This window comes from Homo sapiens, chromosome 4 (genome assembly GCF_000001405.40).
Source record: "Homo sapiens chromosome 4, GRCh38.p14 Primary Assembly".
Classification (NCBI taxonomy): domain Eukaryota; kingdom Metazoa; phylum Chordata; class Mammalia; order Primates; family Hominidae; genus Homo; species Homo sapiens.
Window position 1 is genome coordinate 80,449,551 of NC_000004.12, and position 15,085 is coordinate 80,464,635.

General features: G+C 37.2%; 1 protein-coding gene across 7 annotated transcripts in view; it reads left to right on the forward strand.

Moving 5' to 3' along the window:
• The window catches only part of CFAP299 (cilia and flagella associated protein 299), a 642,486-nt gene that overhangs the window by 128,286 nt on the left and 499,115 nt on the right, over positions 1 to 15,085 (forward strand). The window lies entirely within an intron of this gene.

Consider the following 15,085-nt stretch of genomic DNA (forward strand, 5'->3'; position numbering starts at 1 on the left):
TGTCAAAGGGAATTATATGCTTAATACATTCAAGAATTTCATTCTTAAAAAACGTTTTAAATTATGATCATGTTATATTTATATTTTCTCAGTTTTCTAGAATTATAATGAATAATTTATTAATATTTTCCATTTTACTATCCATATAATTAATTTCTGAATTTTTTATGACTGTTTTGTATCATTTCTAAGAATGCCAAAACCTAGAAAGAACACTTTAAGAAATTAATTTTCTGAAGCCAGAAAGGTCCATAATCTCCTTAAGTACTTTATGTTTAATTTTATTTAATATTTATAAATATTATTTTCTCACCAAAATGTACAACTTCTTTCTCAAAGCTAGAAAGTTATCTAATTCACAAGATGAAATTCATCATCACTAATTGAACTACCTAATGGGAAATAGCTCAAATTACTTATTTTGTGCTCCAGTAATTTCTCTCTTCCTCTGCCTAAGTGTCCTATCTTCTTGGAAAAGCTATGCAGTAAGGCAGTGGAGCAAAGTAATCTATATTGGCACAATGTTTTTCCAAGCATTATTTTGAGATTGCTTATAACAGTGTTAAATTGACTGAAAAAACTCAGTGGAGGATTAATGACTAAAGCCAGGGGTAAACAAAACAAAACAAGATACCTCATATAACTGCGAACTGTTAATTTTACCAGCCTATGTATGTCTTTGATACCAAAGAAGGAAAGAGAATTGAAAAGTTCTCCCTTTCAAAAAGTACTATTAATAAATGCATTGATATATGTGCCAAATATAATCGAGGCACCATGAGTTCAGAAGATTAATACATCAAGAAGTTTTCATTGCAGATAGATGACTCCACAGAAGTAATAACTATGCTCACTTAATATCACATTGCTTAGAATCCCTGAAGAGAAATGCTTGGAAGAATATTATTTGTTCCAAAGAAGCTCTAAATCAAAGTACTAGGAATAAAATATTTAAAGTGGTAAAGGAATACCTGAAACAAATGAAATACTAGGGAAATATTAAAAATACTAAATATCTTTGTGCACTGATGGTTAGGTTAGTTTAGGTTGCAGGAAAGCATACAAGATTTACATGAAGAATTCTTTTTAAACTCTGGAATTCAGAAATACAGTATTTCTGAATATTTGAGATGTTCATATATGTCAAAGTTTGTCCATAGAACTATATTTCACATTAAAAGAGATTTTAAAAACTGATGAGTATAATAAAATCCTAGTTGTTAAAATATTATTTTCAACTTAATGAAATAAATATAATCAGAGCACTTCTTTATACTGAAGTACATTCATTGCTCAAGCAGAGTTAGGCAAGAATTTAAAAAATAATGGATTAATACCGTGTGTGTGTGTGTGTGTGTGTGAGAGAGAGAGAGAGAGCATTTGGGTGTGTGAGAGGAGGGGCCTCTCAACAATTTTGTACCCAGCCCTGTAGGTAGCAGCCATCCAGCCTATGATCACATTCAGGTAATATCTGTTGAGTGAATAAGGGTGGTATTAGCTTGCTAGGACTGCCAACAAAATCTCACAGAGTGGGTGGCTTAAGCAACAGAAATGTATTTTCTTACTGTTTTGGAGGCTGGAAGTCCAAGATCAAGGTATGAGCAGGGTTGGTCCTTTTGAGGCCTCTCTCACTGGCTCGCAGATGGATGGCTGCCTCCTTGCTGTGTCCTCAGGTGGTGTTTCCTCTGTGCAAGCACATAGCTGATATCTCTTTGTGTGTCCAAATTTTCTCTTGTTATGAGAATACCAGTCAGAGTGGATTAGGGCCCACCCTTACAACTTTATTTAATAATTACTTCTTTGAATGTCCTATCTCCAAGTACAGTCACATTTTGGGGTTAGGACATCAACAAACACATGAATTTTGAGAGGACAGAATTCAGCTCAAAATATAGGGGTCTATCAGTGCAACTGAGTACACTATAAGAGCTTATTAAAAATTAATTGAGCTTATTTTCTCAATGTAGTAAAGATTTTTATATTATTCAGTACTGATAAGTGAAACAGTTTTGTCTAGTACACAGTATGGTATTATCTACTGAAAATAACTAAATTCACTTAAGTTTCTTAATGCTTGATTTAAAGTTTCCTTTGAATCTTTTGACAACATAATAGATTCATTTCCTTTCCTCTTTTGGCTGTTTTACACAATTAAATGGAAGTTACAATGATAGATGGGTTAGATTAATTCAGTCTTCTCCTTACCTTCACACATTACTCTAAACAAACTATGCTATTGGCAAGATGGAGCTCAATTTAAGATTGAACACTGAGCTGATAATTATTCAGTGAAAGATTAGATTCCATTAAATCTAAAGCCTGAGTCTGGTTTGTAGAAAATTGTTCCTGGGAAGCTGACTTTCACTAGGTCCTATAGTAAACACTAGGGTATGTGCTAAGATTGTTACCTTGTAACTTGTAGCTACTGGCAGGTAGGCACATTACTTGAGTTTGGAACAGTTGATGGGAATGTATAAATCCACTAGTAGAAATATAAAGGTAATTTCCTGAAGGCTACAGTAGATCTTCACCCCAAAGAGACATTATCCTGGTAGTGAATGTTTTATGGGGCCTGGAGGCAGGGAAGCCTGACCTCTACCTCAGAGTGCTGCCAGGTCATATTTGGTGTATATAGTAAAATGTTGCAACCTGAATCCTTTACTTACATTAAAGGAACATGTAGGCTTTGCCTGACTCTCTCGGTGTCTTTCAATCCATTACATCATTCTGTTACGACCAACAGGCCTTCAGGTATTCATTTCATTCCCTATTTGTTCATCTTGATATCCACCCAACCCATAAATTATAGGACATGAGAATTCAAATTAGTTTTTTTCTGGCTACTGCCATTTCTGAGCAAGAGAAGAGTATTGCTTTTAGAATTTCTTCAGAGAATTTATTGCTCTCTTAGGTTTGCAAAGGCCATGGGTATCCTGTATAGAACTAGCTAAGTTAGGTTAACATACTGCTATTTGGGTAAAGACTTACAAAATAGTCTGATGGTTGGTATATTTTAGATGATAGAAATTCAATGCCTTTTGGAGCTAAAGCCACTATTGTTAATAGAGTTAACATTAAAAGGGATGTCAAACCAAGCTGAATGAGAACAATGTGGTACAGTAAGTTGGAAAAATAATACAATTAAATTATTATATTTTACTTGATTACTTTGTTAAGCAGTAGAAATTGTGGGGGTAGATTATGGGATTTGTTTGAAGGATATGATACATTTCCCCAAATGAAAACATCCGTCCGCATTGATGTTTTCCATTAGTCATCTTCAGAGATGTGAATTTAACTTAAAACAATTCACACTACTCTGATGATGATTACTTTTAAAATGATGTTTGCATTAGTTAAGTCAGAGACATCATGAGAAATGGGAGTAAAAACAGATGGCCATGATGATGCATTTGTACTTTGAATGTTTAAAGCAGCCCCTGGTGTTTGCACAGGGATTGAGAGCAGAGTAGAAACTAAAATTGTCACAGGTTATTAACGTGCCTGACTTGGAGAGTCAACCAAAACCTTGAGTAAGTCTCATAGAAACTGCAACATTATCACGTTTCATATGATTGACATAATGTGCACTCTCCTATTATTCTGCAGGGCTGTCAAGTAAGCAGTGAGAACTCAATCCCTTTTTTTTATATTTAAGGAAAGTTTTTAGAATCATAAAACATATTGGAAAAGATCATGCTTTTGTTTACCGAGACTTGCATATCACAAACATTTTGGTTTTTAATAAGCAACAGAGTTTTCTCTGAGTATTCAGGTAGAGATATTTAAAATCCCTTTACGAATATTCAAACTAAGACATGAGTTCTCATTTATCATTCTTTTATTTCTTCTTAAATTTTAGTGTGTATGTATCCTGTCTTATAACCCCTAATTTAATTAGTAGTGTGGCATGGTAATGTAAATTTTAACAAGCTTCTGAAATGCTTTAAATAATTTAATTTTTTTCATATACCCATTCTTCAAATTATCCCTTAAAAATAATCGTGTGGCCTGGTATGGTGGCTCACGCCTGTAATCCCAGCACTTTGGGAGGCTGAGGTGGGTGGATCATTTGAGGTCAGGAGTTCGAGACCAGCCTGGCCAACATGGTGAAACCCCGTCTCTACTAAAAATACAAAAATTAGCCAGGCTTCTTGGCGCGTGCCTGTAATCTCAGCTACTCGGAAGGCCAAGGCAGGAGAATCGCTTGAGTCTGGGAGGTGGAGGTAGTGGTGAGCCAAGATCTCACCACTACACTCCAGCCTGGGTGACAGAATGAGACCCTGTCTCAAATAATAATAATAATAATAATAATAATAATAATAATAATAATAATAATCTTGCAAGCGTGATTTTCACATTTCCATTTAGTAATTCATTAGCATTTTAGCTTTATAGTTGCTTTAAAGGTCTGAGAAAATTATTGGTTTAAGATAGCATACTGATCACGTGTTGTTATGTCCTTTACCATCTCAGACCCCTGAGTTTCAAGGCTTAAAAAATGTATAAACACTCCATAATGAAGATAATGTGAGGTGACTGTTAGTGGTTGACAATTTTTGCAATTTTCTGGCAGGCAGAAAGCAGTTTTGAGAGAGGTATTGGAAGGTGCAGGATAGAGTGGCCAGAGTCTGGGAGGAGGTGATCTTCTTTGCTGCCTGGAGAGACTCAAGACTTAGGAATGCCAGGTATGATGAAAAGCATAAGTGAATCATGAGTTGAAAAACAAGGACATTAGAAATCTATAGACAGAGGTCGCAACAATCCTATGATTCACATGGTGAACAAGATATCTACCAGCGAACATTATTTAGGCAAAATATTGGAAGGTTCATGTCTTCAGATAAAGTGACTGCCTGGATTGAACATGGACAGCTGGTATTGAAGTTGGTGCCCAGAGCAAATACCTCAAATTCTGGAATATAGGAGTCCTTGGGCATGAGAACCAGCTCACCCCCAAAAAATCCCACCAGCACTCGGGCACACATGCCCATATAATTAGGTTCTCATTGCCTTGTTCCTAAATATGTAAAGATAACTAAGGTTTGGCAGACATTTGAGGAAATTGAAACATAAGAAAACCTAATATAGACATTAAAAATGCCCATAAATGTACACACAGGTGTAACCACTCAGCAGGTTTTTCTTGCCTGCTGCCCAGACAGAGCCAGTTTATCAAGAGAGGGGAATTGAAAGAGAGAAAGAGTTTAAGTCACACAGAGCCAGCTGTATAGGAGACCAGAGTTTTATTGTTACTCAAATTAGTCTTTCTGAAAACTGAGAGACTGGGGTTTTTAAGGATAACATGGTGGGTAGGGGGTTGGGAAGTGGGGAGTGTTGACTGGTCCGGTTGGAGATGAAATCATAGGGAGTTGAAGCCTCTTGCACTAAGTCAGTTCCTGTGTGGGGGCCACAAGACCAGATGAGCCAGTTTATTGATCTGGGTGACACTAGCTGATCTGAGTGCAGGGTCTGAAAAATATCGTAAGCACCAATTTTAGGTTTTACAATATGATATTACCCCTAGGAGCAGATAGCAAGGTTTCAAATCTTGAGGCCTCTAGCTGTGCAACTCCTAAGCCATAATTTCTAATCTTCTGGCTAATTTCTTAGGCTTTCAAAGGCAGTCTGGTCCCCAGGCAAGAAGGGGGTTTGTTTCAGGAAAGGGCTCTTATCATTTTTGTTTCAAAGTTAAACTATAAACTAAGTTCCTCCCAAAATTAGTTTCGCCTACACCCAGGAATGAACAAGGTTAAAACCAAGATGGATTCAGTTAGGTCAGGTCTCTTTCACTGTCATAATTTTCTCACTGTTATAATTTTAGTCAAGGCAGTTTCACGGGCACAAATGAAACAGATACTTATTCGAATTATATAGGAATTTTTGCATACATATTAATAAACTCCCTCCACTCCACTCCTTACTTTTACATTTTATTTGATATTCTTAAAAACTAGGACAGAATACTATGCCAAAGCAATACTTTGAGAGCAAGAATGAGCACACAAGGATTTATAAAAAGATAGATGGAATGAAGAGATTCAAAAGTAAGAACAGTGAAGTTGAAGATAATTTGTAGAGAGTGAAAAAAAAAAGATATTGAGTGACCTATTTCATTTTGTAGCATGTAGCTCAAGAGACCATGTATCTTCTTAAAATACCTTTAAGGTTTTCAAGTTAATATTTTCAGATAAGAATTTTGGCAGTCACCAGTTTATAATATTCAATGACTCACATGTTAATAAATTATGCTCTTCCCATTCATTATCTAGTGTTGATTGAGCACCTACTGTATATCTGTCATTAAGCACCAAGGAATACAGTAGTGATCAAAACATACAAAAAATCCATGTATCCACAGAGCTTATGTTTTAGTTGGGGAAGGTAGACAATAAAGAAATAAAAAAAAAGATATGCTATGATAGATGGTCATAAATTCTTTGAAGAAAAATAAAGCAGGAAAAGGAGATAAGGTGATGCTAGGGTGGGGTTGTAGTTTTAAAGAGGATGATCAAGAAAGGCCTTATTTAGAAGATGACATTTGAGCAAAAAGCTTAATGAACTAAGGTAGCAAGCCATGAGATAGTTAGGAAAAGCCAAACCCCATGCTTGGACACAGCAAGGAGGTGAGTGTGGCTGGAGTGGGATGATTTAAAGAAAATGAGGCCAGAGAAATAAAGGGAGTGGAGCAGCTTCATGGCAAGACATAATGTACCTTTCACTTTTGAGATATGAAGACATTAGAGGGCTTTGCTCAGAGGAGTGTCCAGATATCTGATATAAAGGGATCTCCCTCTGGCTATAATAAGAATAGTTTGTAGTGAGAACAAGAAGGCAAGCAGGGAGAGCAGCGAGAGGCTTTGTAATAAGCCAAGCAAGGGGAAGTTCTGCTTGGACTAGGATGATAACAGTGGTGGAAGTGCTGAGGGATGTCTGGGTTCTGGGTATATTTTGAAGATAGAACAGGAAGAATTTTCTGATGGTTTGAATATGAGATATGAGGAAGAAGATGACTCAAGGATGACTTTGGTTTTACCTGAGTACATAGAGAATGAAATAGACCATAAGAGAAGGATACATGGAGGATTGGAATCTGGAGTTTGTATTTTAGATGTAGCAAGTTTGAGATACCATGAAGAAATCCAAGTAAAGATGTAGAGGGCAGTTGGATAACCATGTTGGAGTTCAGTGGAGAGGTCTGGGTTGGAGACATTAATCTGTGACTCATGCATGTAATCATGTAAATGAATAAAATAGAAAAGAGTTCCAAGGAATGAGTCCTGCAACACTCCAATGCATAGAAGTTTGACAGATGAGGAAGAGCTAACTGGCAGAGCTAGAGATGGTTTAGCCAGGAAGACAAAGGCTACGGTGTTGTGGATACCAACAGAGGAAAGTATTTTGAGGAAGAGGAGATCAGTCATTCCAAATGCTTTTTTTTTTTTTTAACGCAGATGTTTTTGTCTGCAAATAGGTAGTGGTAATATTTATATTATTAAAGAGACCATGAGAACATGTAAAAATGGAAGACTTTTACAGCACAAGTAGTTTGCATTATGCCAAAATGTAGCCACTTCAAATACAACTTTGAAGTAGGGTATAAATAAACTATTCCATTAACCACTAAATTGAAGGACAAGAATTACAACAATTGATGATCCGCAGGCAGCGTTTTCCACAACAAAAAAATCATATGGGAAGTTGAATAAGTATCTTTGTTATTAGCCTACGTCCTAATAACATCAACTTGAAATTATTATTGAGCCATGTTGGAAAGTTATTTTTGGTAATTTCCTTAAGTGGGGAAGAGAGTCAAATAGGTTATCATGTTATGTTATGGAGGGTGAGGCCATGTGCCACAGATTCTGTGCTTTGGATGTGTCACAGGAGCAGCCCTCAGCTTCCATGGCCCATGTGAATGGAGGCAAGAAATGCCATTCATCTGTGACTTTTAGAAGACACCGGAACAAATTTATGTGTAAAAGATCTATTTGATACTTTCATCTCTCTCATTCTTCCCATTGATTCCTAATCTATTGCTATAAAATCCAAGGTTGGTAGTCAGAGTTTCTCTCCTGAGCCAACACTATTTTGCCTGTTTCTTCTTGACCTTGGAGCATTTTAAGATGTTTTTCGGGACTTCTATAACCACATGCTACTGTAGCATTCATTTTTCATGGGATGCTCCATGCAGTTCGTTTGCTGTAACTGAAACTAGCTGTCCCCCAACCCCCTCTGCCAAGGATATAATTTTTCTAGGAGCCATCTACAATAGAGACTACTTATTTATCCATGTTTTGCCGGGCTTGTAGCTCACTGTTGATTTTCTGAAACGTTACTTCTGCATTTTCCAGTAAAAATCTGCCTTCTACTTTGAGACTTAACTCCCGACGTCCATTTCTATCCTGTGGCATATTAATCCATCTCTTGTTTTTGTCAAGAACTTTGGCACCTGGATCTTAGTTTTACTTGTCACTCTCAGTGCTGTCATCCTTCACCATTTTTTTGATTCTCACAGCTCTGAATGCTCAGTTTTTAGCCCGTTTATACTCCAGAAAAAAAAGAAAGAGAGACTCAGGGAAAAATGGAAAAACAATAGCTCTTCATGGAAAGGAAAAGGATCAATAACAAATGGGCGCCCCCAAAATTCAAGAGTCACATGAATATACATTTAAAACAAATAATTCAAACTAATTTTTACAAATGTTTCTTTTTCTTCCTGAGTTAAAGGAGTTATATCTTGAAGAATCTAGTTCCGTGTCTGGGAATGGAACCCAGGCTGCGGCGCATGCCAAATGCCAGCTACTGGACTACAGGCTGGAGTGCCTTTTTGCAAATCCCACAGGGGATCCAAGGCAGGCAATATGAGTGTACAAAGGTTTTTAACTTTTAAAAAAATCTTATTTCTGAAAAAATCTTTTTTCTGCCTTTTTAAAAAAATCTCACCAAGGGAGCTTCTAAGGCTGTATTCTTTGTGTATTTTTTATATTTATAAGATGGTTGTTTAAGACAAGAGCTCTCTAAAACATTTTCTTTTAAATATAGCCAATTTATTTATTTTATTAGTGATTCAAGCCAAATAAGACTTCTGCATGGAAAGTCCCAAAAGTAACTTTCCAGGTTTAGAATACTATGGATGTGACATTTTAAAAATGGGCACAGAAGATGCAGCCTTCCCCTCCAGGATCTCCCCAAAAATTCAATCCCAGAAATAGGCTAAAATAGCAAGGTTTCGAATGCCCCAGACCATTAAGGATGCAGTTTGTTTGTTCAGGGTCTTCAGTATCCCAATAACAGATCTGTTCATCTATGGCACTGAGTAGGCCCTCCTGGGATTGAACTTTCCCAGGACTAAAACCAGGCAGCAAGCCTGGTTGAGACAATTAAAGCTCTTTGCGGATGGGACTTCTTTTTTTTTAATTTTTAATTTTTTAATGAATATCTTTTAGAGAAAGGGTCTTGCTCTATCATTCCGGCTGGAGTGCAGTGGTGCACTCACAGCTCACTGCAACCTCAAACTCTTGGGCTTAATAGATCCTCCCACCTCAGCCTCCCTAACAGTTAGGACTACAGGTGCATTATCACCGTGCCCTGGCTAATTAAAACAATTTTAGTTTTTTGTAGAGATAGGGTCTCCCTATGTTGCCCAGGCTGATCTTGAACTCCTGGCCTCTAGCAGTCCTCCCACTTAGGCCTCCCAAAGTGCTAGAATTACAGGCATGAGTCACTGCATCCAGCCAGGCTTCTTATGAAGACAAACTCTCCCAAGTGCTAGCAGGCCTCTGCACATGCAGACAGCCCACCCCAAGGGAAGAATCAGGGGAGAAGGGATGCAAGATGCCGGAAGTATGCCAACATGTAAAACCTCACATCAAAGGTCAAACAGTGCACTTGATGTCTCAAGTCACCCACTTGTTCTCTTCCAAGTGTACTTTACTTCCTTTCATTCCTTCTCTAAAGCTTTTTAATAAACTTTCACTCCTGCTCTAAAATTTGCCTTGGTCTCTCCTTCTGCCTTATGCCCCTCAGTCAAATTCTTTCTTCTGACGAGGCAAGAATTCAGGTTGCTGTAGACCTGTACAAATTCACTGCCACTAACAATATTAAACTTAATGAAGAAAAAAAACAGAAAAACTGATTTTTACCATCAGCTCAACCAGATTCCACAACCAGACATCTGGAAATCTAACTGGTATGAAATTCTTACCCTTCTGCCAGCTTGTTAGGTCCAGAGTTCCCTTGACTGTGGCTTCCAAAAGAGCAGGGTGGTTGTGATTGTGTTGCTCACAGCACCAAAACTGTAGAGGCCAAGGAAAAACTTCCCTTTTGCCCTCTGAAGGTTCACTGAAAATCAGCTGACAAAAGGCAGGTTAATAGAAAAAGCCATAAAATTTATTAATATGCAAGGGTGTGTATGGAAGTTATACAAAATATGAAAATTTAAAGAACCAGATGGTTGATGTTTTTATACCATCTTGAGGTTACAGAAAGAATAGGGGCTTGAAGCATGGCAAGACAAGTGATGTGAGAGAGAGAAGAAGAGAGGCCTTAGCTGGCAAAGGCAGTTTTGTTATGCAGATGAAACCTCACAGGTAGCAGTGCTCAGAAAGTAAGTTTCTGTCAGACTCCTGAAAGTGTCAGACTCTCATTCTCTCTCTTCCACAAGCCAATCTTTCCTATATCTGGACACTGGAGTTTGGGGTAGGAGGGGTAGGGGGAGCCGGTGTGCCAGGGAAAGCTTGGCTGTTTATTTCACCAATGCAGATTTTTCTCTACAGATGCAAATCTTCACAAAAGGCAACCTTTTAGCTATTCTTGTGTTTTTAGACTCTAAATAGCTATCTTGAAATATGTCAAACAAATATTATATATTTTGGGGTGAAATTTTTTTAAAGTTATATGTGCTATCAACCTCTGGCCAGACCCTGCACTTTCTCCCCTCATCTGCTGAATGACAGCACCCAAAATGTTCATGAAAGTTGCATGCTGAAGATGGCCAAAACTTCACTAATGGCTTCCTAACTGCCTTCATGGAATCAATCCGATTACTAGTTGATGATTTTTTTATGCGTAAGAAATAATATTCTGTTGTGTTTAACCACTGATATTTCTAAGTTTGTTAGTGTAGCTAGTGTTATTGTAACCAAAGATAAATCCAATTCTTTGCCTTTTCTCTTTCATACTTGGTTTGCCATTGAATATAAGGAGAAATTCACACGATTATGTGGATTTGTCCCAAAATCTACCACCTTCAACTTGCCAAAGAAAAAAGTCAAACTCTGTAAAATATTTGAAGAGACTTATTCTGAGCCAAATATGAATGACCAATGGCTCATAACACAGCCCCAGGAAATCCTGACAATATGTGCCCAAGGTGGTCAGGCTACAGCTTGATTTTATACATTTTAGGGAGACATATGGCATCAATTAATGCATGTAAGATGTACATTGGTTTGATCCAGAAAGGTGGGAAGGGCTACCAGGTCATAGGTAGATTCAAAGATTTTCTGATGGGCAATTGGTTGAAAGAGTTATTATCTAAAGACCCGGAATCAACAGAAAGGAATGTCTAGGTTAATATAAGGGGGTGTGGAGACTGAAATTTTGGTCTTTTCATGCAGATGAAGCCTCCAGGTAGCAGGCGTTAGAGCTCTTAGCAGAACTAAAAAGATACCAGACTCTTAGTTAATTCTCTCTTGGATCAAAGAAGAGACCTGGAAAAAGAAAGGAGGTTCTCTACAGAACGTAGATTTTCCCCACAAGAGACAGCTTTACAGGGCCATTTCAAAATATGTCAAAGAAATATATTTTGGGATAAAATACTTAGATTTCTTTCAGGGTCTGCTGTCTGGATATGTCAAAGAAATATATTTTGGGCAAAATATATTGGGGTAAAATACTTAGATTTCTTTCAGGGCCTGCTGTCTGTCATGTTGGTATCTTACTGCTAAGGAGTGTTTGGTCAGCCTTAAGGTCTCTGTTTTAGTGTTAATTGCTGGTCATCTGCGCCTGAATTCCCAAGGGAGGAATGTATAATGAGGCATGTCTGAGCACCCATTCCCATTATGGCCTGAACTAGTTTTTCAGGTTTACTTTAGAATGCCCTTGGCTAAGGGAGTGGTCCATTCAGTTGGTTGAGGTGCTTAGAATGTTATTTTTGGTTTACAAACTTTAGGTGGTTTACCAGTTATATTCAGGGATCATCCTGTATTTCATAATGCTTCATTTTCTCATTTTCTTCAATTATTATTTTGCACTTCACTATGAACTTCCTCACTTGGACATATGGATTTGCATCCTATATCACAGAATTAGAAAAGACCTTGAAGTATGAACTTCCTCAAACTCCTGCCCACTTCCCTCCATCTATAAACATGTCTGTGTTCATCATGACCACTTTACCCCAGTTCCATGGAGGAACTCATTCTCCTTCTTCTTGAGGCTTATGACTCCGCTTGGATTCTAATCTCATTTACCAATCTAAATCCTTTGGCCATCCTGGGATTCCCAAAGGGCAGTAACCATGCTAATTTAATCCAACCTTGGATCCCCAACACTTAGTGCAGTACAAGACAAATGGGCATTCAAAACCATAGTCTCAAATGAGAAGATAAATGCGTTTTCTCTCTTGTATTTTCAACATCTTCCTTTTCACTGACACTTTCCCCTTAGTATATAGTCAGTCAATTCTCTTCTTATTAAAAAATAAATGAAGTAAATAAACCTCCCTCTACCTTTATACTCCTCTAGCTCCTGCTGTATTTATCTTCCTTTCATGAGCAACCATTCTGGCGGAGCAGACTATAGTAATCTACTCCTCTACCCACCACAGCTAGACTTATGTCCCCATTGCCCCACTAAGCTGTTCTTGCTAACGTCAACAAAGACTTTGTAGTTAATAAAAAGCTAAACCAGCACTCCTCAGGTCTTTCTCTGACAAATACAATTTTGTTGTCACTCCCCACCTCCACCCCAATATGTTTCTCTGACACAGAGTTTGGGTTTTATCTCCCTATCCCTTCCCCACCCCCATCTATTTGCCTATTAATTGCTAGTCATACTCATTTGCTTTCTTATGTCTTCATAGATTCTAAGTGATCTCATCCCACCCTTGCTTTTCCAATTTACAACAGCTCAAACCTCTGCCCAGCTTCAGATCTGTTTACCAAACCACGTGATCCAGAGATGGGTGATCTGGAGATGCTTCAAATTCAACATGTCCCAAAGGGCCCTCATTAGTCTATTACTCAGCAAAACTTCTTCCTCTTTCTAGTTTTTTTCCTCAATGAATGACAAAGTCCTAATAACAGCATATATAGGAAATTTTAGGGGATTTTTAAAAAAAATCATATTACTTCAGTCTAGAATATTGGAGAATGAGATAGTAAGGGCAGGACAGGAGAAGTTGACCCCTCAAGACAACAGAATCAGGACTAGATGAATACCCAAATGAAACTGAAAGTAGAATGAGAACTATGAACATCGTCTTGTTTTGTAGTTGCAAATATTTGAAAAGAAATTGCCTGCTTCCCCAAAACAGTGATTGGGGCAGAAGAAAACTCTAAAACCTGTTTCTGGGCAACATTCAATCAAATAAAATGATTTTTTTTTTTAATTTTAATGTCTTTTTAACACAAGACTTATTAAAACTTTTATAAAACAAAGGAAACATCAGCCTAAACACTCAAGAAGAGAAATACTTTAAAAATCACCTATAGCAAATGGCTATTTTAAAAAACACTACATGAGAATGAGTCAGTTAAGAATGAATGCTGCAAAATTACACAAAGAAAGAACATATCATCAAAGGATCCTCTGTGAAGAATTTTATGAACAAAAAATGATATTAATGTGATTACATATAAATATTTAGTTGAAATGATCCTAGGTCCTTCTAGTTCTTCATATATTATATGTATTAGTCTGTTTGGGCTGCCGTAACAAAATACTACACAGTCTGGGTAACTTAAATAACAGACTTATTTTTATACAGTTCTGGTGCATAGACGTCCAAGTTCATGGTGCAGTTAGGGTTCGTTTTTGGTGACACCTTCTTCCTGGCTTGTAGATGGCTGCCTTCTTGCTGTGACCTCACATGGTCTCTTCTAAAATTGGTACCAGTCTTATCAGATTCGGGTCCCAACCTTATGACCTTATTTAACCATAATTTCCTCCCTAAAGGCCCTATCTCTAAATAAGGTCACATTGGTGGTTAGAGCTTCAACCTATGAATTTTGGGGCCCACAATTCAGTCCATAACATTATACTAGACAGAGGGGAAGTTCACTGAAGTCATGTTTTCCTATAAGTAAGAAATATTATTACTCCATGTATAACTTCACATGCACAAACGTTCAAGCTCTGCCAACTGGACCCGCTCTTCATTATCCACAAAAGTCTGCAACATTTCATTTCTAAAGTTAAAACTGATTTTAAATAGAAATGCATAAAAGTATCCATATTCAGCCAAAATCATGTTATTTTTGGCTGTCTTTGACTAAATAACAAGAAAACTCATTTTGACTTTATTTTGTAAATTTTTTTTTTAAATGCACTCTCCAATCAAGAACTTCTATGCCAAGTTTAAGCCTGAAACAAATGTTAAGACCAAATTATAACTCCCCAAAAATGTGGAAGTTTGCTAGATCCTTAACATCACTGTACCGCCAATTGCTTGCTGCAATATTTACTTACATTGCTAGGACTGAAGCTAAAGGAAATGGAACTCAGTTGCATAATTCAAGGCACATTAAACTAGATGCTATATTTTCTATGGATTTTACTCTTTTGTGCTTCTACTAAGAAAATGGATGTTTTTACCTGGAAGTAAGAAAAGATGACATTCACTGGCCATTCAAAACATTGAAATGCTAACTGGTATAGCCATGAGTGTCTTTTAATTTTCCAGTTTTTAAAACTTTGCTTCTAACATTTCAGAGCTTTACAGATGGAGTATCTCATCCAGGATTCCAAACTTCAAAGGCTTAAAAAATAAACTGCAAACTAGCAAACTTCTCATTTTTGTTTTACTTCTGTTATTTTTCTAACCTTTCCTTTTAAACACACTCTTTCTTGCTCTTGCCAT